This window comes from Homo sapiens, chromosome 10, assembly GCF_000001405.40.
Source record: "Homo sapiens chromosome 10, GRCh38.p14 Primary Assembly".
NCBI lineage: Eukaryota > Metazoa > Chordata > Mammalia > Primates > Hominidae > Homo > Homo sapiens.
In genome coordinates, this window is record NC_000010.11 from 58,182,772 (window position 1) to 58,204,625 (window position 21,854).

Below are 21,854 nucleotides of genomic sequence, written 5' to 3' on the forward strand. Positions count from 1 at the left end.
CTGTCTGTCTTTGGGTGGGACTTTTCTAACTTCATACTGATGCAAATGAACAAATTGTGTACCTAAAGTGTGGCGAAATGATAGGTATAAGGAGAGAAAGACAAGTGCCCACCAGCCCTGGCCCCAAATCTTAGCTTTAACACCAACTAACTGCATGACATTAGACATGGGCCTCAGTTCCCTCATCTGTAAAATGGACAATAGTGGCTTCACGTACTGATTGGATCAGTTTGTGTTCTGGAGGGTAAGACAGGGCCTGCTTCTGCTGCAACACTCGCCATCACTGCTTCACAGGCCCGGCCCACAGGAAGGAGCTTATCCAGGCTGTGGAGCCCACAGTGTATCTCTAAGTGTCTTCTAAATCTCTTGGCCTCACCTCAACTTTGATTCCCTCGGAAAGATTCTTTTCAAAGACCCTGTTTCTTGTGATATTCTTTGTGGCACACTCCTTCGTGGCCCATTTTCATGGAATGAACACAATGAAGACAGGAAAGGAATCAAGAGTAGAAAAGGCTGAAAATGCCTGAAATAATCAATTTGCAAATTTTTATGTAGAAGAAGCTCATTTCTTCATTAAGAAAGACATTTACAGATATGAAAATACAACCTAAATTTTCTATTTTTGTTCATTTACTATTTAAGGTCTTTTTAAAAATAATGCCACTGTTTTATGAGAACGCATGGGATGATTTATTACACAAGGTCAAAGTATTTTCACCAGAGGAGAGGCCACTGAACTGCAGAAACTCTACTTGAACTTTTCTCACAATGTAATTAATACCCACTCCTAGTTTAGAAAAAATAACTAGCATGCTTTAGTGTGTTCCTAATAATGAAATACACCTAACTTGTGGCTGGAGCTTGACTCCTTTGAATTGTGGTGTGGTGCGTTTGGGTTTGTACCCAAGTTCCTGATAGTGTAGACAGAGCTGTTAAACCATTTGAGGCCCAAGCTCCTGATAGTGTAGACAGAGCTGTTAAACCATTTGAGGCCCAAGCTCTCTCATCTAGGCAATGGTGACTGTAGTGAAAATAAATTGTAGCCTAAAAATGTTTTACACACACACACAAAAAGCACTGCAAGATGAAGCTATGTGATTTTAAAATGTAAGAAGTGTAATTTCATTTGTTCATTCAATACATATGTACTAAGAATCTCAAATCATAAAAATTCATTACTTACCCATGATGTAAAAATCTTTGTGACTTTGGGTTAAGTAAATATTTCTTAGAGCCAATATCAAATGTACCATACATAATAAAGAAAAAAAAATTGATGAATTAACCTCTGCAAATTTAAAAATTTCTGCTTTTCAAAAAGAATGTCTTCTCAGTAATGAGAATGAAAGACAGTTCACAGACTGGGAGAAAATACTTGCAAATCATATCTAATAAACAACTTGTATCCAGGATGTATCATGAACTCCCAATGTGCAATAATGATACGGGCGGGAAAGTGTATAAGAAAGAGATGGTTAAAAAGTTAAACAGATACTTCCGCAACGAAGATGTACAGATGGTAAATAAACACATAAAATGACATCATTAGCCATTAGTGACATGCAAATTAAAACCACAATGAGATACTACTATACATCTATTAGAATGCCTCAAATTGAAAAAAAAAAAACTGACCATACCAGTGTTGGTGAGGATGTGGAGCAACCAGAATGGTAAAAATGTGAAATAGTGAAATCGCTATGGAAAATATTTCAGCAATTTCTTAAGACGTTAAACCACTAAATGACCCAGCCAGTGTACTTCTACGTATTTATCCAAGAAAAAGCAAAGCATATGTTCATACAAAGATTTGTACACAAAAGTTTGTAGTAGCTTTATTATGATAATAGCCAAACACCAGAAATAATCTAAATTTCTATCAACAGGTCAACAGACAAGAAAATTGTGCTCTCTCTCTCTCTCTATATATATATATATATGAATACTATTTAGTAATTAAAAAGAAATGAACTATTGATACATGAAACTATGAGAATAAATTTTAAAACAATTATTCTGAGAGCAAGAAGCCATACCAAGTAAATCAATAAATCAAAAGTATAGAAATAACAAAAATTCAAATCATTGTATGTACTTGAAAGCAGGTAAGTATTTGCTTGGGAATGGAGACAGGAAGGAGGGATGATGAGGAGGGCCTGCAAGCAGGATTACCAATGGGCATAAGGAAATTTTTACAATTGATCAATATGTTCATTTTCCTGATGGTTTCAAGGGTATATGCATATATCAAAATTATCAGATCGTACATTTTATATATGTGCAATTTATTGTGTATTATGTAATAAAGCTGTTAAAAAACAAATTGATCATATTTGCTTGTGTCTACTTCTGAACTTTCTTTTCTGTTCCATTTATCTATGTACCTATCTCCCAATACCACAGTGTCTTTGTTTTTGGTAGCTTTAGAGTGAATCTTGGAATGTGGTAGTATGAATTCTACAACTTCATTTTTTTTTTTTTTTAGACAGAGTCTCCCTCTGTCACCCAGGCTGCAGTGCAGTGCCGTGATCTCAGCTCACTGCAACCTCTGCCTCCTGGCTTCAAGCGATTTTCCTGCCTCAGCCTCATGAGTAGCTGAGACCACAGGCATGCACCACTATGCCCAGCTAATTTTTGTATTTTTAGTAAAGACAGGGTTTCACCATATTGGCCAGGATGGTCTTGAACTCCCGACGTCAGGTGATCTGCCCTCCTTGGCCTCCCAAAGTGCTGAGATTACAGGCGTGAGCCACCACACCTGGCCATACAACTTCATTCTTTTTCAAAATAGTTTTGGTTGTTTTATTCCCTTTGCCTTTCCATACATATTTTAGAGTATAGATTTTTTTTAAAGGGAAAAATATTCTGCTAGGATTCAAATCAGGATTGTTTCAAATCTATAGATCATTTTGGTAATAATTGACATCTTAAAAACTGAGTCTTTCAATCCATAACTATGCCATATCTTTAATTTATTTAGGTCTTCCTTGATTTTTTATCAGTGTTTCATGTATTGATTTTTAAAAATCATATGTGTGAAAAGATTATATTACTTATAAGTTTCAGTTCAGGATAGCAAATATGGTTTTATAAAGTAGTCATTATTGGAACCTATTAAGTCTAATAGATTTGAGAACCTGACCTAAAGAAGTGCTACATAAAAGAGAAGACTGACTTTCAGAATACACCAAGACTCAAGGGTTGGTGAAAAGAGAATGATTCAATGAAAGGTGCTGAGAAGATAAGAGGTGGGAGAAAAATATGGAGAATGAAAGTCAATAAGGCCAAATGAAGAAAGAGAACATTTATAAAGGAGAGTACATTCAACTGTCTCCAATGCTATTACATCACATAAAATGAGGAGAATTGAACTTCAGGTTTAATAATATAGAAGTTGTTCTTGTCAAGAACTATTTCAATTTATGGGGGTGTCAGGGCTGGGGTGGTGAGAAAGCCTGATTGGAGTGAGTTAACAGAGAAAAAAAGGAGAATTGGAAATAAGTTGAGGCATTTTGATGAAAAGGGAGAAAAGAAATAGGGTGGTAGGTGTAGGAGCAAAGGAAAAGTCAATAATAGATGCTTAAGGGGGGAATATCATAGGTGTGGAAAATCTTACATGTATACTAACAGGAATGCCACAGCAGAGAGAGAAACATTCCAGTTGCAGGAGAAAGGAGTGAGCATCGCCGTAGTAATGTTTTGCTGTTGTTTTTGAGACAGGGTCTCATTCAGTTGCCCAGGCTGAAGTGCAGTGGCACCATTGCTACTCACTGCATCCTCCACCTCATGGGCTCAAGTGATCCTCCCACCTCAGCCTTCTGAGTAGCTGGGACTACCAGCACATACTACCACAAATGGCTTTTTCTTTGTTTGTTGCTGTTTTAGAGGCAGGATCCCACTATGTTGCCCAGGCTGGTCTCGAACTCCTGGGCTCAAGAGATCCTCCCTCCTTGACCTCACAAAGTGCTAGGATTACAGGCATGAGCCACTACACCTGGCCCAGTGATGTTTTTTAATATGTGTGAGAGTTTTGGATCTAAGGGCAACAGGAGAAGAGAACTTCGCATAGAAAATGGCAGTGTTCATCCATTATAACAGCAAAGAAGAAAAAAATATGGATCTAGAAGGAGGTGGATATGTAGGTTTGAAGGTGAGATGATGTGCTAACATTTTGATTACTACCATTTTGTTAGTGAAAAAGTAAAAACACGGACTAAGGGAGGCTGAGGGAGGAGGCATGGTGAAACATCCCTCTGGAAGGATGGTGCGGTAATTGGCTTTGAAGGTGTAGTAAGATTGCCTTGACAGTAGTGAAGGCAATCTTCAAATCACTTGGAGTTTGAAGTAATAAATTTCAAGAGACACCATGAAGATGGCTGTGTTTTTCTCCAACCATTTTCATCTAGCTCTTTTTATTAAAATAATTTCAACTTTTATTTTAGATTCAGGACATACTGTTGCAGGTTTGTTACCTGGGTATATTATACTGGGTGATGCTGAGGTTTAGGGTATGATTGATTCCATCACTCAGGTACTAAGCACAGTACCCAACAGTTCTTCATCCCTTGACCCACCCCACCCCCAGTAGTTCCCAGTGTCTGTTGTTGCCATCTTTATGTCCATCAGTATCCTTTGTTTAGATCCCCCTTTTAAGTAAGAACATGCCAACTCTTTTCATCTCTAAGGTACAGGTACTGAATTGGTAGAAAATAAGGAAAACCAGGGTTTGAGTTTTCCAGGGAAATACAATGAAAGGTATAGGGCTAGAAACTCTGTGGCGTTGTGTATGGGAGTGACTATAATGAAGGACTTTTGAATCCAAGTTGTATAAGGCTTAAAGTAAGAACAGGAAGATGATGGACAATGCAAAGGTTAGAACCAACGCACTGGATCCTTGTGGGTGAAAATAGTAGAAAGAGGAAGTTGAAAGTATAGGAGGAGATAGAGTAGGATATTAATCAGTAATGTCTAGGGTGCCCATGAGAATGAGTGGCTGAAGTTGGGGTAGAAAATAAAATCACTGGAAGTGAGGAGGTCAGGGACTGAGAGGTCAAGGTATTGGAAAAATCACCTATGGGTACAAAAAATCATCAAGAGTAACTTCAGAAACTGGAATGTGGAGTATGAATGTGAGCCAGGTACTGTGTCTGACATCATTGGAGGGGCTATGGATAGATGACTGAAATAAGGAGGGAGAGCAGGTACTTCAGAGGAATTTGCCTTGTTTTGTTAAAGGAAGGAGTAGGAATAATGATGATTCTGAAAGTGGCTACAGAACATCTACCACCTCCTGGCCTGACCTTATTTAAATATGGTGAAAAAATAGCCACTGTTTACCTTAAATATCTCCTTCTGAAAATATAGGGAACTGTGCAATATCTTTTGGAAGGATTATTATAAACAGTTTGAGAACACCATAATACTTGAAGAAATACACTTCAGTTATTTGCAGATTTGTTATGTGGAAGCTTCTAATATGTTATCTGCTATTTATGGCTTCATCTCAAATGGGTAATATCATATTTCAAAAACTCAGATCCTTGAGCACTTTTTTGAAAGCAAGGTCTCTACAAAAGCTATATGGAAAAAAGTAAAAATTAGCCTGGAAAAGCTACATAGCACATATTTGTGTAGTAACTGAGCACAGGTCTGATTAATCCTCCTACTTAAGATTAGGCAAATTTACTTAGAGCTAGAAACTAGAAATTAGGGATAAACACACTGACATGTTTGGATAAGGCCAGAGTGCTAGATGTTGCCATTTTTCAAAGAAGATTTACTAATTTTATTATCCCCAAGAAACATATTCAAAACCAATTATTACATATGCAAATGTACATATTATTACCAATAATAACAGGGTAAAAACTTAATAGTATCCCCTCTGGGGAAAAAATGAATGGGAAGTTCATGGGAAAGGGACATTATAAATAGGCATTCCTCCTAAGACTTTTCACCCTCTTTGGTACATTATAAAGAAAAAAAATAGCAGGGAGAAAATGACAACGAATTAATGTGAAATTCTGATTTAGGATGATGAAAATCCAGCTAAACGGAAATAAAACAGCATATTCAAGTTCATCTAAAAGCTGAACTAAAACTACTAGATCTGTGAAAAGAGTTTCAACATTAACTAGTGAAATGGTGTTTACAACACATAGTAGAAGATATGCATTCTTTTGCATAATTTCTGTCATAGAAGCAAACAGTTTGTTTACACTTGAAATAAAATCAGTTGACATTGATCACCAAGGAAGCTCATGAATAAGACAAGATTGCTTAGGATACGAAACCATTCTCCAAACGATAACATCATAATTTAAAGTGGAAGATGGCAATACTCTAGGACTGCCCAGCGGGCTCTACCTAGAAGAGGTAACGGATGAAAGAAAAAAAAAAGAAACATTTTAGGGATTTTAAAACTCGCATATGCTGCTTGTCCTGCTGCCTCTGTTCTGATCCACAGAATTAAATATCCACATTGTCTAACTTGTTCTGACATTGCTGCCCCATAAAGCCATGGACTATGACAAGACAGAATTTCTTGGTGCCCTGTGTGAGTTAATCTGAGGTTGGAGCATGTGGTTGATTGTACTGTGACTTCCCTGTATCCACACCCTTCTTCAGTGTCCTCCCACTCTGACTCTGGATTCAGCAACGGTAGCAAACTTAAACAGAAACTTGAAACCTGTTTGCATGTTTTCAGCTTCTTCTTCTGGACTCCTAACTACAACTCAGAGAAATGCCTGGGCTAGCCTGCTGAAATATGAGACACATCGTCCTACCCGCACCCCCAGATGACCTGCCAGCTGATTCTAGAGACATAAGTCTAGCCAAGATCAGCAGAACTGCCCAGCCAACTTGCAGATCCATCCAAATAATAAAGGGGGTTAAGACTTACGCTGCCACTTCGGGGTGTTATGCAGCAATAATTGTGGATAGAGTGGTCAGGCTAGTCCATGATTTAGATTGATTATCCCCTCCACCTCTGACATAACTTGGGTGGGTCAGGGCCAACCACTATGAAGAGTGGAAACTGAGAGTTAAAACGAGTAAGAATGAAAAGTTATGGTATTACAGTTTCTTTATGAATTTATAAATATGAGGATGTTCTTTGAACTGGATTCAAGCCTCGAAAGCTATAAACTAGGTCTATTTACCTGAAGTCTATGATCTTTAAAGTGTATGAGGTGAGACTGGTTACTCCTCCGTGCACTATCTCCACAAGATGCTTCCACACTCATCATTTTCCTTGAGTCCATTCCAAGGCACTTTAACAATTTATGTTAACTTTCATTAAATAATAATTTTAAAGACCTTCCTAGCTCCTCTTAGAAAGACTTGGTTTTCAACATTTCTTGGCATTTGAGCCAATTGTACCATGTCATTTACGCCCAAAGCACCTCTAGAATGTTGTCAGATGACAACTACAATGTAATTAACAAGCATACGCAGATTATTTTCTTAGGTTGGCAAAGTAGTAACTATTTACACAGAAATAAAAAAAGGCCAATGGCACAAATAATAGAAAATAACAAGTTTATCATTACAGGACTCCCAAAACTTGTTGCAGGAGGCATGGTTTAATGCCCTTGACATTAACTTTCCAATGAACTTTTTCTTCCAACTAAGAGTGGCCAGCGTTATATTAAGCCATTTCTGGCTGTATTTTCTTCACATTCTAAGCCCATTTCCTTTTCTGTTGCCAGCACTCTCTCTTGGCTTTCCAACAGCTCTGGTTGGGCCTCTGTTCAAGTGGTAGTGCACACCCTACCTCCAAGGAACTTGTTGCAAATCTTGTTAGTCAAAAGTGTGGTCCATGGACCAGCATCAGAGTCCAGTCCAGTCTACTTAATCAGAATCTGCATTTGAACAAAATCCCCACGTGATTATTTTTACTTATTTTATAATTATTTTCACTTTTTATTCTTTCTCTTTAGCTTTTATTTAGTCTTTACACTTAGCTATAACTTGGGGACTGTGGCAGTGGGGTTCCATGTTATTCTTTTCAGCAGTTAGGCAGCTTATCTTAATCAGGAGGGAAAAAACTACTAGATCACATAGTATTGCTCCTCCCCATAGCATTCACAAAGAAGCAGGCATTAAGGTGGAATTCAATACAACCTTCTTTAGCACTATGATGTTATAAACCACACTCTCTTCTTCCTCTTGCATGCTATAGAATGACTTCTCTGTCTTCACAACCCTGCTGGATATTGAGAAGTCAATCATAATTCCACTATTTTATCCCACACTGACATGTTTTTTTTCTCTTCCAGCCAGTATATATCTTGATAATAGGTACTGAATCCTTTTTAACTAATAATGAAAATAATAACTTGGTCACTAATTTCTGAAATTTCGAATACATGCAAAAAAAAAAAAAAAAAAAAAAAAAAACCTTACCTACTTAAGCTTAAGTTACTGCATTTTCATAGCCATATCAATTTGTTTCTCCTATGGCCCACTTCTCCCTTCTAGGTTGATTCCAAAGATTTGTTTATGTGACAGAAAAAATAAATATCCATGGAAAATGGTTTACATACTTTATCATTTCCAATGTGTACACTTAAAAAAAAAATCCCTTCCCCAATTTGTCTGAAAGCATGGATCTTTCCACTGATGCACTTTGTCATCTTTGATTCCCCAGTGATTCCTATAGTTTCTGATACACAACATTCAATATCTGTTGAATGAATGAGTTATTTTTAAACCACGTTAGCATGTTACAATTAATGAAAAAAGTTCCAATGCAAAACATTTTAATAGGTTGTCAAATATACAGTTATTAGAATTATGTAAATATCACTTATAAAAATTGGTATATCACATTAGATGATTCTATAAAATAAAAACACAAATCACACATTGACAATAACCCCTGCAGTCCAAGTATACCCCCACAATAGTACAAATTACAAACACATTTAAAAAAAAACCCTAAAGACATTTATACATTTAAACCAAAGTAACTGTGACTAAATACATTCATTCATCAAGTACAATAAATTTAGCATTGCTGCTTATAGTCACTAATAACACAATTTTAGGTGCAATTTCACATGCTTTCATAAATCTTCCAGTACAGTTCCCATAGTAAAGTGTCTTTGTGCACGCCATTTTCATTTATATGCAGGTGCATCATACATCATACTTAAAACTATTTCACTTTACAAACTGTTAAATTATATTTAAGTGGACAGTAGGTAAAAAATTTAAACTTTGATGACAAAATCTAAAATTAAAGAAAAGTCTTAAAAGCCTATAGTGACTTGTTTACTTGCATAAATAATATTTTCACTTAGTACAGGCTATTAATATAAGTAATGAGAATTTAAGTATTAACTCAAAAAAAGATAGAGGCTCCAAACTTTTCTAAGAAATTAATGCATTTTCAAAGTAATAATATAATCAATCTGTAAGTCAAAAGTAATTTCATATTCATTGCCAAATTTAAAATACCAGTGATGTTAAGATTGAGGCCTAAAACTGTTGTACTAAATTGTAAAATACAGTAAAGAAGATGCAGCTCATTTGCTTGGGAATATGTAATGGAATGTTTTTCACAGTAATGTTTATGTTAAACATTACTTTAAATGGACAGTCTAAATAAATGTACCTTTGCCAGCAAGGAAAGTGAAAAATTAAGGCTTTTTTATGCTATCTGTAACTAATACCCAAACTTAAATAGAGGTTACAATACTGTAAAATATTACTTCTAACTTCAACTATTGTTAGATGCTTCATTTCAACCCCACACTTATTATCTTATTTAGATGCCTATTTTTCTATATCTCTATTTTAATTAAGTCCCCAATCCCACCCCATCCAAAGAGAATGCTGAAAATGGTTAGGGCCTTATCCGTTTGGTTCACAGTTGTAATACTGGGGGCTAAAAATGCTTAATACATGGCATAAATCCAAGGAATATTTTTGAATGAACTAAGAAGCCTGGCCTCCAAAGGCAACCCTACTTGTTTTTCCAAAGCATTAACAGATAATTGTTACCTCTTTAAATAATCAGATTGACAATTATTAAAAAGGAATCGATGTTTCCTAGGCTATGAAAACATCAAAAACATGTAATAGAAAGGGTAACTGAGGGTACAAACATATCAAATCAAGACTAAAGGCACTGGAGAAAGAAGGTAAGCATTATAAACAATTTTTAAAGCAAAACAAGTTTTAAAGTATAAAATGCCAAACTACTAAGAGAAAATGTACTAAAATGACAATGCTTTACCATAGTGGACACAATTCCTGTAATTTCATAAACAGAATTCTTTCGTTGTTCTATCGTTTTCTTTCATCCTACATCTTCTATAATATTCCAACCCCTAGAAACAAATGTATTTTCAGTAGCATGAAACAAAAAATTGCAACTGAAGTATCTGTGGAAATTCCTTTTTCTTAAATGATGTTATAAATTTGATACATAGACTTGATAGACATAAGAACATCATCTTGGAAATCATAAAATACTAAATTATGCTCAATCAAAATACAGACGAAGGTTCTTCAGTTAAACAGTTTAGAGCCCCATAAGAGCAAACTGTAGTGTAAAGAGGAAAAGTAAGTACAATCTTTCCAGACACACAACTAATAATGAATACTGAGTTGAAATACCACAAGCTCCACATTAGAGCCATTTAATATACACATTTCCATAACTGTTTCTTGAAAAACTATTTAGATAAAATATTTAGCATTTATCATTGATTTTAATTTATTTGAATCTATGCAATGTCTATCCATATTAAAATATCAATTAATGTAAATATTATAAAACTATTATACAATTTAAATTTTTATTAGAGAAAGGTATTATTCACATCCACAATTTCTTAAAGTCCTTTTTAAATGAGTGTATTCCATAAGAAATACACTAAAATCATTACTTATGTTTCATAGGGGAAAAAAAACTATGAGAATCCTATTAACCCAAACTATATCCGCATTATGCTTATTTCTTAAGCATTTACATGTTCAAATATACTTGGTGAATAGCGATCATTCATCCCCACAGTGGTAAATTTCAGCATAATATTAAGTGACCGAGAGAGACTAAGATAGTCACATGTAGATTAGATAAACAGATACTTATTCTGTTATACCTAAGCCTACTTATAAAGCAACATAAAATGAGCATTGGATAACAATGATAACAAATGTAAACAAACAGAATTAAATGTTAATCCCTTCCCTGAAAAACAACAGATAAAAGGGCTTCTTGCTTTATTAAAAACAAAACATGATCTATTGTATCAAAAAGGTAAGACATTGATTTTACAAAATTGTATTTCCAAATGCAGATAAAAAAATCTTGAACATTAAGATTTTATTGAGCTAAAATGTGCAAAAAATCTGACAATACTTAAGTTTATTAAATTCATTGTACATAGGTTGATATCATCCCATACAAAAAAAGCCTCAGTATCTTGTTAAGATTCAAAATAGTGTTTAATTATCTGAGCTTAAGATTTATTGAACCACTATCCAAATAACAACAAAATCCATATTGTAAAAGAAAAAAGTAAAACTAAAAATTCTGATTATTATGACTTGAAATTCATTCCCGTTAAAACATAAAACTATAGCCAATATCCATTCAAAAAGTGAAGAAAAATTGGAAGTCCCTATGATAAATACACCAATTCTAAATAAAAAATTAAAATCAAATTTTGCTATTACAAAATGAACATGATCTTTTAAATTATTCAGGTTTAATAGATTTACTAAGGATAGAGTTCATAGAGCATTTAGTTGGTACTTCTGTTTGGACTCAGGTATTTGCAAAGTGCCCTCAGAGAAGGCTGAGAAGGTAAAATAAACATAAAATTGTGATAATTTTCTCCACACCACAATAAAGGTGCTCGGATTTAAAAATTCAATTTGTAACTCCAGAAGAAAAAGAGGAGAAAGAATTTACAACCCCAAAATATTTTCCAGGAATATGACAAAACTGATAACTACCTAGAAATGTTATTAGTGAATGGAAGTGCAAGTAATGGCAGCATTAACATCAAATGTATTTGAAGACTCAAAGTTTTAAATGTTTTAAATGACAAATAACTAGTTGATTTTTTTTTAAGGTGGTGGGTGTGAAACAAAGATAATACAAATCTAATTTTTCCAGGAACTGTAGCACTGCCCCTGTCCCCATGAAATTAAGTTACAATTTCACTGGTCAACATAATATAAAACTGTTTTGAGGAAGAGTGAAATAGAAGCATGAATATAGATACGCACCAAACCCTATATTACGGACTAATTTACACACAGTATTTTTGATAACAACCTAATTAGATATTGTCTTTCATTGCTTACTATAATTCTGAGAAACTGTTTTTAACAACATACATTTACACTACCACTTAACTAAATGGGGACATATAAATACATAAATTTTTAAAGAAAAAAATTCAAGTTATTTAGAGGAGAAATAAAACTTCAATTATTTACTTTTTTGAAGCTGCATTTAGATACAAAGGTATATGGTTTATGATACTTTCACAATGTAATAAATTTATATTCCAATTTTCTCATGAATGAAAGATTGTAAAGGAAAATATTTTGTTCCTTGAAAATAATATCTCTCTTCCCCTAACCCCAGTAAGGACAATTAGTGTGCCCTTAATTTCAAGACTTTGTTGTTGTCATCCACATCAATTGTCTTTTTCATGAAGTATAATATTTTGAGAGAGAGATGTAAAAATTAAAGAGAAAACCTGCTTTTGGAATGCAACAATTCTAAATCATTTCACTAAGGAGCACCCTTTGATATGCTGGTCTGAACTTTTAATATAAAACCTAAACAGTACTTATTTCTGAAGTAGAATTTTCTCCAGTTTTAGTAACTTCATACATAGCAATACTAAGGACATCAACCTGTGCTTTCGAGATTTTGGTAGGTGTTCTAATAATGTAATATTTTAGATATGGCTCATTGTCAAGGCTGGGTGGACAGAGATTTCATGAATTGGCTACAGAAAGCTAACTAAACTCTTAATGACTGAATAATGGTTTGCATTTTGCTTGAGCCAAAAAAGATGTTTAAGCCATGTACCACCACATTCCCTGCTTAACATTCCTAAGTTTCTTTATTCTTCATAGTTTTCTAATGAACAAATAGTTAGTTTTCCTGAGTAAGATTATAAAAAAGTTAACCATTCTTCCAAAAGTATAAAGACAAATAAAATGTCGACTCATAATACAAATTTTTTACATAGCATTAAAGGTGCAGATATTGACTGCCCCTCTTCATTATGATTGGCCCACCCCTTAAAAAGACTGCAACAGAGGATTCAATTGTCTAAAATACTTCGAAGTACAGAAATTAAATGCTTTAGCCCATAAACATATCCCTCATCTATTGTGTTGCTAGGGAACACATGAGCAAAATCTATCATTCGCACTTCTACTTCAGCAATCTCTTGGCAACCAGTGGGAAGATGGTAGAAAACTTTTTCCAGTTGGGAAAGTACATTTCCATTTAAATGTTCCTGTGACATGCTTTTCCACCCATTGTCTTGCTCCAGATTTTCAACTTTCAATGAAGTCTGACTGTGATGCTTTTTTGTATATATTTTCCTGTGACGCGCATACATCTTGGACAAGCTTTTGCCCACTGAAGACTCTATTTTTCCATTAGCTGTGGAACTTAACACATGAAAGTTATTATTGTACTCTAGTACTTCTGTGTCTGACAGTTGTCCTTTGGACAAAAACTTTTCTGCCAAAGTTCTGTCATTCAATTTTGTAGTGGTTGGCTGAGATGAACCTTCATAAACAAAGAGTAATGAACTTGCGTAAAAATTAAGCTGCTTCTGGTTTTCAAACCACTGCAGAATTTTCTCAATCTTCTGAATACTGGCAGCAACAGCATCTTTTCTTAAGCAGTACCCATTATGAAAAAATCTGGAGACTCCTATAAAAAGAAAAATATGAGCGTTATAATCAAATTATGAAATAACTATTATTTGGGAAGTAAACTCATCACAGAATTCTCCAATATTTTCCCCATCATCCCTTAGAATTAAGTGAACAGTTAATCCTAGAATTCTAAGAATTCTAGTCAGATATAGAAGTCTGACCTCAGCTTGATTTTTGGTGAAGATGCTCTTATTAGAAAACATTTAAATGACACTAATATAATATGAAATATCCTATTTAGACAAAAGGAAATTTATTACAGGTAGACTGGTAGTTTACTTCTCTCACTATATTCTCTTAAGAAACAGGATTCCAGGCTGGGCACGGTGGCTCACGCCTGTAATCCCAGCACTTTGGGAGGCCAAGGCGGGCGGATCACGAGGTCAGGAGATCCAGACCATCCTGGCTAACACAGTGAAACCCCGTCTCTACTAAAAATACAAAAAATTAGCCGGGGATGGTGGCGGGCACCTGTAGTCCCAGCTACTCCGGACGCTGAGGCAGGAGAATGGTGTGAACCCGGGAGGTGGAGCTTGCAGTGAGCCAAGATTGGCCACTGCACGCCAGCCTGGGTGACAGAGCGAGACTCCGTCTCAAAAATAAATAAATAAATAAATAAATAAATACATAAATACATAAACACATAAATAAAAAATAGGATTCCAGGCCGGGTGCGGTGGCTCACGCCTGTAATCCCAGCACTTTGGGAGGCCGAGGTGGGCGGATCACGAGGTCAGGAGATCGAGACCATCTTGGCTAACACGGTGAAACCTCGTCTCTACTAAAAACACAAAAAATTAGCTGGGCATGGTGGCGGACGCCTGTAGTCCTAGATACTCGGGAGGCTGAGGCAGGAGAACGGCGTGAACCCAGAAGGCGGAGCTTGCAGCGAGCCGAGATCGCCCCACTGCACTCCAGCCTGCGCAACAGAACGAGACTCCGTCTCAAAAAAAAAAGAAAAGAAAAGAAAAAAAAAAAAAAGAAATAGGATTCAAGACTTGCTCTATTTGCTATCTTGAGCAATTTTACAGTAAAATTACTTGTTCGGGCTGGGCGCAGTGGCTCACGCCTGTAATCCCAGCACTTTCGGAGGCAGAGGCGGGTGGATCACCTGAAGTCAGGAATTCAAGACCAGCCTGGCCAACATGGTAAAACCTCGTCTCTACTAAAAATACAAAAATTAGGCATGGTGACGCATGCCTGTAGTCCCAGCTACTTGGGAGGCTGAGGCACGAGAATCACCTGAACCTGGGAGGTTAGAGGTTGCAGTGAGCCGAGATCGTGCCACTGCACTCCAGCCTGGGTGATACAGCAAGACTGTCTTGAAAACAAAAAACAAAACAAAACAAAAAACAAAAACTTGCTTATTAGAATCTCATTTAGAGCTAACTAAAACCTAGAGTCAAATTTAATTATTTTTTAATGGTACCATTACTAAATACCAAACCATAACTCTACCATAACTCTACTAATTTTCATTTGCTCTCAATAATATTGATTAAGTCAATTTTTCCAAAAAGTTAAGCTCACTTTTGGGAATAGCACTTTCCCACGTTAGGTATATTATTGAAAATTGAGACCTTTAAATGTTTTAACCTATCAGATTATTAGGCCTTTTTAAAAACTATGCCTATTTTATCATACTTGGGAATTTATAGGTATATATAATTTGATTTCTGCTTTCAAATAACTTGTTCCCCCAATTTGGGACAGAAACTATTAAAAGATATATTCAGATATGACTAAATTATTAGCCTGGGAAAATATTTTTTAAATAGCCCAGCTGAATGTTATTTTGTTGTTGATTAAGTACTCCAAAGCAAACACTAATTGTTAAGCTCATGCTATGGATGTTTGCTTTCTATATATAAAATAAGAATTCTTCTACAAACTTTTTACACTATGCATAAGTTCTTCTCTAAATATCTTAGTAGAGCTAAGAATAAACTTGTAATATAATGTTATTTCCAGGAATCTAGGATATTGTTGCTTTTGTAGTATCTTGGCCGTAAATACTTTAGAAGCATGTATGTATGTTAACAGATTTTATTTAAATCAGTTTAATGCCACTTAATTATTCATTATGTAGCTCTAGAAACTTACATAGCTCAACTACACATGGGAAAATTCAATAAAAATACATTAAATGCTACAACACATATTTTAAAGCCTCTTATGTAACAAGCAGTTTTAATATACTATGATCTATAACGTTTACTTACAAAATAATTTTATACACAACCTCTAGTTCCAGTATTGAGTTAGATGGCTGGTACACAGCTGTTCATTTTTTTTTTAAGTATATTAATAAGAAATAAATGAAAATGTAACAGAGGGCCATTCATAGTCCCATGCTCTTGATATATTATGAACCAGGGCTTATGGTTAATCCAATTCTGTAAATCTAAGTTTCATTATTATTTAAAAAATGTTTATTATGAATCAAATCACTTTTCCAAATGACAACTAAAACTGAAATAACTTTAGAAGTCTTTTAACTGTTCAATCATAAAAGCATTAGTTTTTTAGTCCTTACCATCCTTTATAGTTTCTTTTGTTAAGCTTCTTCCGTAATGCTGGTTTTCTGTCTCATAGCTATCGGAATGAACATGATAAACCTGTCAAAAAAAGCAGTGAATATTAAAAAGCTAATACTCCTTGACCATGTGGGGTTATCCCAGCCACAAGGGTGGCTAAAGATGAAATCTACTCAGGTAATTCATTCTAATAGATTTGAGAAGAAAAAAAAAAATCGCAGTTATATCAATGGATGCTGAAAAAGCACTTTACAAATTTAACATCCACTACTGATGAAAACTCTCTGTAATATAAGGATAGATGAATATTTCCAATATGATAAAACTATCTACCTCAACCTACGAGGAGTTAGTCTCAAGTTTAAAGGAGAGAACTGAAAAAGCACTTCTTTTAAAATACAAGAAGCCTTCACAAAAATATTTTATCATGATGTCTTTTATATTATTATCATCTAATATTCTGGAGTTCCTAGTAAATGCAATTAGAGAGAAAGAAATTAGAGGTATAATAATTTGGAAAGGTGGAGATAAAGTTAATACTCTGAAGATAATAGTTGTACACTGGAAAATAAAATTAAAGACAAATACAAATAATAAAATATATGACACGGCATTTGAATACAAATTAGTAAACAGAAAATAAGCTTTCTAAACACAAATAACTCATTAGAAAATGTAATGAAAGACCCCATTTATAAAATGTAACCCCCAAAGAACATGAAAATAAGCTAGATAAGTAAAAGATGTAAAAGAAGATATCTTTAAAACATTCCTAAAACACACACCTATGTTCTCAAAAAAGATTCAGCATAATAAACTATATCAATTTTACTTAAATTAATCTACAACTAAAGTGAGATTATAATAAAAATACCAACTTTTTTTTGGTTGGGGGAGGGACGGAGTCTCTCTCTGTTGCCCAGGCTGGAGTGCAGTGGCGTGATCTCAGCTCACTGCAACCCCTGCCTCCGGGATTCAAGTGATTCTTGAGCCTCAGCCTCCCGAGTACCTGGGATTACAGGTGCGTGACAATACAGCCAGGTAATTTTTGTATTTTTAGTAGAGGTGAGGTTTCACCATGTTGGCCAGGCTGGTCTCAAACTCCTGGCGTCAAACGATCCACCCGCCTCAGCCTCTCAAAGTGCTGGGATTACAGGTGTAAGCCACCACGCCCGGCCTCAATAATTTTTTTTAACCATAAGCCAACTCTGAAGTTCACATATTTAAAAATAAATAAATAAATAAGAGCCAAGAAAAGTTAAAATAAGATTAATAAGGTAGAACTAACCTTGCCATCCTACCAGATATTAAAACACATTTTAGAATCAAACATATGTGAGAATTTAGTATATGATAATGGGATTTTAAATCAATGGGAAAAGATTATTTATTAAATTGTGTTAGTCTGATTAAACAGTGATCAGGAAAAAAGTAACTTGTATTCATACCTGATATCTTATGTCAGGATAAATTCCAAATGTATCAAAGATTGAAATGATAAAACGGTCCCCGAAAACATACAGGAATCCTTGAGTAACTGATAATAACTAGGGACAGCATTTCCAACTAAAACTCAGAAATGTCAGTTGGTTCTTTTTGGTAGATAATATTTGTACATATTTATGGGGCACATGTGATATTTTTTTACAGGCATAGAATGTGTAATGATAAAGTGAGGGTATTTAGGGTATTCACCACTACAAATATTTATCATTTCTATGTGTTCACAGTGTTTTTCCCACGCAGAAATCAAAAGAAAAATAGAGAAAAAAAACTGTTTGAAATTTATTTGATGAACAAAGGACATGTTTACACTTATGAGGGAAAAAACAAGAAACAAAGTGTTTAAGGTAGGTTTTGTAATAAACATATATGCAGTATTTGCATGTTTAAAATATCTCTGGAAGGGTATATAGAGAAAAAATAAGTATAATATGATATCTTGTATGGAGGCAGACTACTCAGCTGTACAGGTATACCTCATTTTATTGTGTTTCACTTCATTGTGCTTTACAAATATACTGCATTATTTACAAATTGAAGGTCTGTGGCAGCTTGAGCAAATCTATTGGTGCCACTTTTCCAACAGCATGTGCTCATTTCATTTCTCTGTATTACAATTTGGTAATTTTTGAAAATTCTCAAACTTAAGTATCTGTTACAGTGATCTGTGATTAGTGATCTTTGATGTTACTCCTGTGATTATTTTGGGATGTCACGAAGCACACGCACATAAGATGGCAAATTGGATAAATATGTGTGTCCTGACTGTTCCACTGACCAGCTGTTCCCCCATCTCTCTTCCTCTCTTCAGGCCTCCCTATCCCCTGAGGCACAATATTGAAATTAGGCCAATTAATAATTAGTAACCCTCCAATTAATTAATTAATAACCCTCCAATGGCCTCTAAGTGTTCAATGAAAGGAAATGTCACGTCTCTCACTTAAAATCAAAAGCTAAAAAGTGATTAACTTAGTAAGGAAGGCATCCTGAAAGCAAAGACAGGCCTAAAACTAGGCCTCTTGTGCCAAACAGCCAAGCTATGAATGCAAAGAAAAAGCTCTTGAAGGAAATTCAGAGTGCTAACTACAGTAAACACACAAATGATAAGAAAGTGAAACAGCCTTACTGCTAATATGAAGAAAGTGTTAGTGGTCTGGATAGAAGACCAAACCAGCCACAACATTACCTCAAGTCAAAGCCTAATCCAGGGTAAGACTCTCTTCAATTCTATTAAGGCTGAGAGTCACCATGAGGAAGCTGCGAAAGAAAAGTGCAAACTAGCAAAGGCTGGTTCATAGACCCTAGCAGAAGTTTATGGAAAGACGTTGTTTTTAACCTAAAATGCAAGGTGAAGCATTTAACCTAAAATGCAAGGTGAAGTAGTTGTAGAAGCTACAGCAACTTATCCAGAAGATAACTGATGAAGGTATCTACCCCAAACCACAGATTCTCAATGTAGATGAAACGGCCTTCTATTGAAAAAAATGCCACCTAGGGTTTTCATAGCTAGAGATAAGAAGTCAGTATCTGGCTTCAACGCTTCAAAGGACAGGCTAACTCTCTTATTAGGGGCAAATGCAGCTGGTGACTTTAAGTTGAAGCCAATACTCACTCATTTGTCCTAGAGCCCTTAAGAATTATGCTGAATCTCCCAGCCCTTTGGGAGGCTGAGGCAGGAGGATTGCTTGAGGCCAGAGGACAACTTGAGGCAAGGAGCTCAAGAACAGCCTGAGCATCATAGTGAGACCCCGTTTCTACAAAAAATTTAAAAATTAGTTGGGTGTGGTGGCATATGCCTGTAGTCGCAGCTACTTGAGAGGCTGAGGTGGGAGGACTGCTTGAGCCCAGGAGTTGGGGGCTGCAGTGAGCTATGATTATGCCACTGGACTCCAGCCTGGGCCAAGACCCTGTCTCAAAACAAACAAACAAAAAAATGTGCTGAATCTACTCTGCCTGGGCTCAAAGCCTGGATGACAGCACATCTGTTTATAGCATGGTTTACTGAATATTTTCAGCCCACCATTGAGAACTACTACTCAGAAAAAAAGATTCCTTCCAAAATATTACTGCTCATTGACAGTGCACCTGGTCACCTAACAAGATTACTGATGATGTACAAGGAGATTAATATTGTTTTCATGCCTGCTAATAACATTCCTTTTGCAGTTCTATGGATCAAGGAGTAATTTCAACTTTTAAGTTCTATTATTTAAGAAATACATTTTGCAAGGCTACATACAGCTGCCATTGATAGTAATTCCTCTGATGGACTGGGGCAATGTAAATTGAAAACCTTTTGGAAAGAATTCACCATTCTAGATGGCATAAAGAAGATTTGAGATTCATGGGAGGAGGTCAAAATATCAACATTAACAGGAGTTTGGAAGAAGTTAATTCCAACCCTCATGGATGACTTTGAGGAGTTCAATTCAAGACTTCAGTGGAGGAGGTAACTGCAGATGTGGTAGAAAGAGCAAGTGAACTAGAATTAAGACTGAAGGCTGAAGATGTGACTGAATTGCTGCAATCTCATGATAAACCGTGAATGGATGAACAGTGACTTGCTTGCTTGTTTTATTGATTGGCTGACTGAGATAGGGTCTCGCTCTGTCACCCAGGCTGGAGTGCAGTAGCACGATCACGGCTCACTGCAGCCTCAACCTTTTGTACTCAAGCAATCCTCCCACCTCAGCCTCCTGAGTATCTGGGACTACAGGTGCATGCCACCATGTCTGGCTAATTTTTGTATTCTTTTGTAGACGGGGTTTCACCATGTTGCCCAGGCTGTTCTCAAACTCCTGAGCTCAAGCGATCCACCCGCCTCAGCCTCCCAAAGTGTTGGGATTACTGGCATAAGCCACTGCCCCTGGCCTCAGAGTGGCTTCTCATGGATGAGCAAAGAAAGTGGTTTCTTGAGATGGAATCTACTCCTAGTAAAGATGTTGTAAACATTGTTGAAATGACAATGAACAATTTAGAATATTACATAAACTTACTTGATAAAGCAGTGGCAGGATCTGAGAGGACTGACTCCAATTTTCAAAGTTCTACTGTGGGTAAAATTCTATCAAAGAGCATCACATGCTCCAGAGAAACCTTTCATTTAAAAAAGAGTAAATTTATGTGGCAAACTTCATTGCTGTCTTATTTTAAGAAATTGCTGCAGGCACTCAAACCTTCAGCAGCCACCACCCTGATCAATCAGCAGCCACAGGCAAGAGCCTCTACTAGCAAAAGGAAACAACTCACTGAACGCTCAGATGATCATTAGTATTCTTTAGCAATAAGTATTTTTTAATTAAAGTATACACACTGTTTTTTAAAAAAACATAATGCAACCAGGCACAGTGCCTCATGCCTTTAATAATAGTGCTTTGGGAGGCTGAGGCAGGAAGACTGCTTGAGTGTAGGAGTTTAAGATGAGCCTGGGCAATATGGCAAGACCCCATCTCTATAAAAAATAAAAAATAAGCTAGGTGTGGTAGCAAAGATATTTGTAATAAAAGTTAACATTCTCAACCTAAAAACACGTAAATACGTAACAAAAAAGTATCCAATTTTTTTTTAATGGAAAGAAAACTGAGAAACAGGTGTAGGAGGACAGAATGATAAGCAAAAGCAAGCTCCAGCTTTTCCTCGTACGTCACCATATTAGTTGCTCATTTTGCGACTTCTTTGCAGAAACTGACAAGCTGATCCTAAAATTCATGTGGAAACTAAAGGGATCCAGAATAGCCAAAACAAATTTGAAAAAGAGAGCAAAGCTGAGGCCAGGTGCAGTGGCTCACACCTGCAATCCCAGCACTTTGGGAGGCCAAGGCGGGAGGATCATTTGAGCCCATGAGTTCAAGACTAGCCTAGGAAACAAAGTGAGACACAGTC

The 21,854-nt window shown here is 35.8% G+C and overlaps 1 protein-coding gene across 1 annotated transcript in view; it reads right to left on the reverse strand.

Annotated features, from left to right (window-relative positions):
• Window positions 1–8,745: 8,745 nt before the first annotated feature.
• IPMK (inositol polyphosphate multikinase) overlaps window positions 8,746–21,854 on the reverse strand; it is a 76,378-nt gene continuing 63,269 nt past the window's right edge. The window contains exons 5-6 of the mRNA NM_152230.5: window positions 16,469–16,550; window positions 8,746–13,927 (exon numbers count right to left, since the gene is read on the reverse strand). Of these exons, the coding sequence (NP_689416.1) occupies window positions 13,305–13,927; window positions 16,469–16,550 (705 nt within the window). The 3' untranslated portion in view covers window positions 8,746–13,304. The remainder of the gene's footprint in view (window positions 13,928–16,468; window positions 16,551–21,854) is intronic.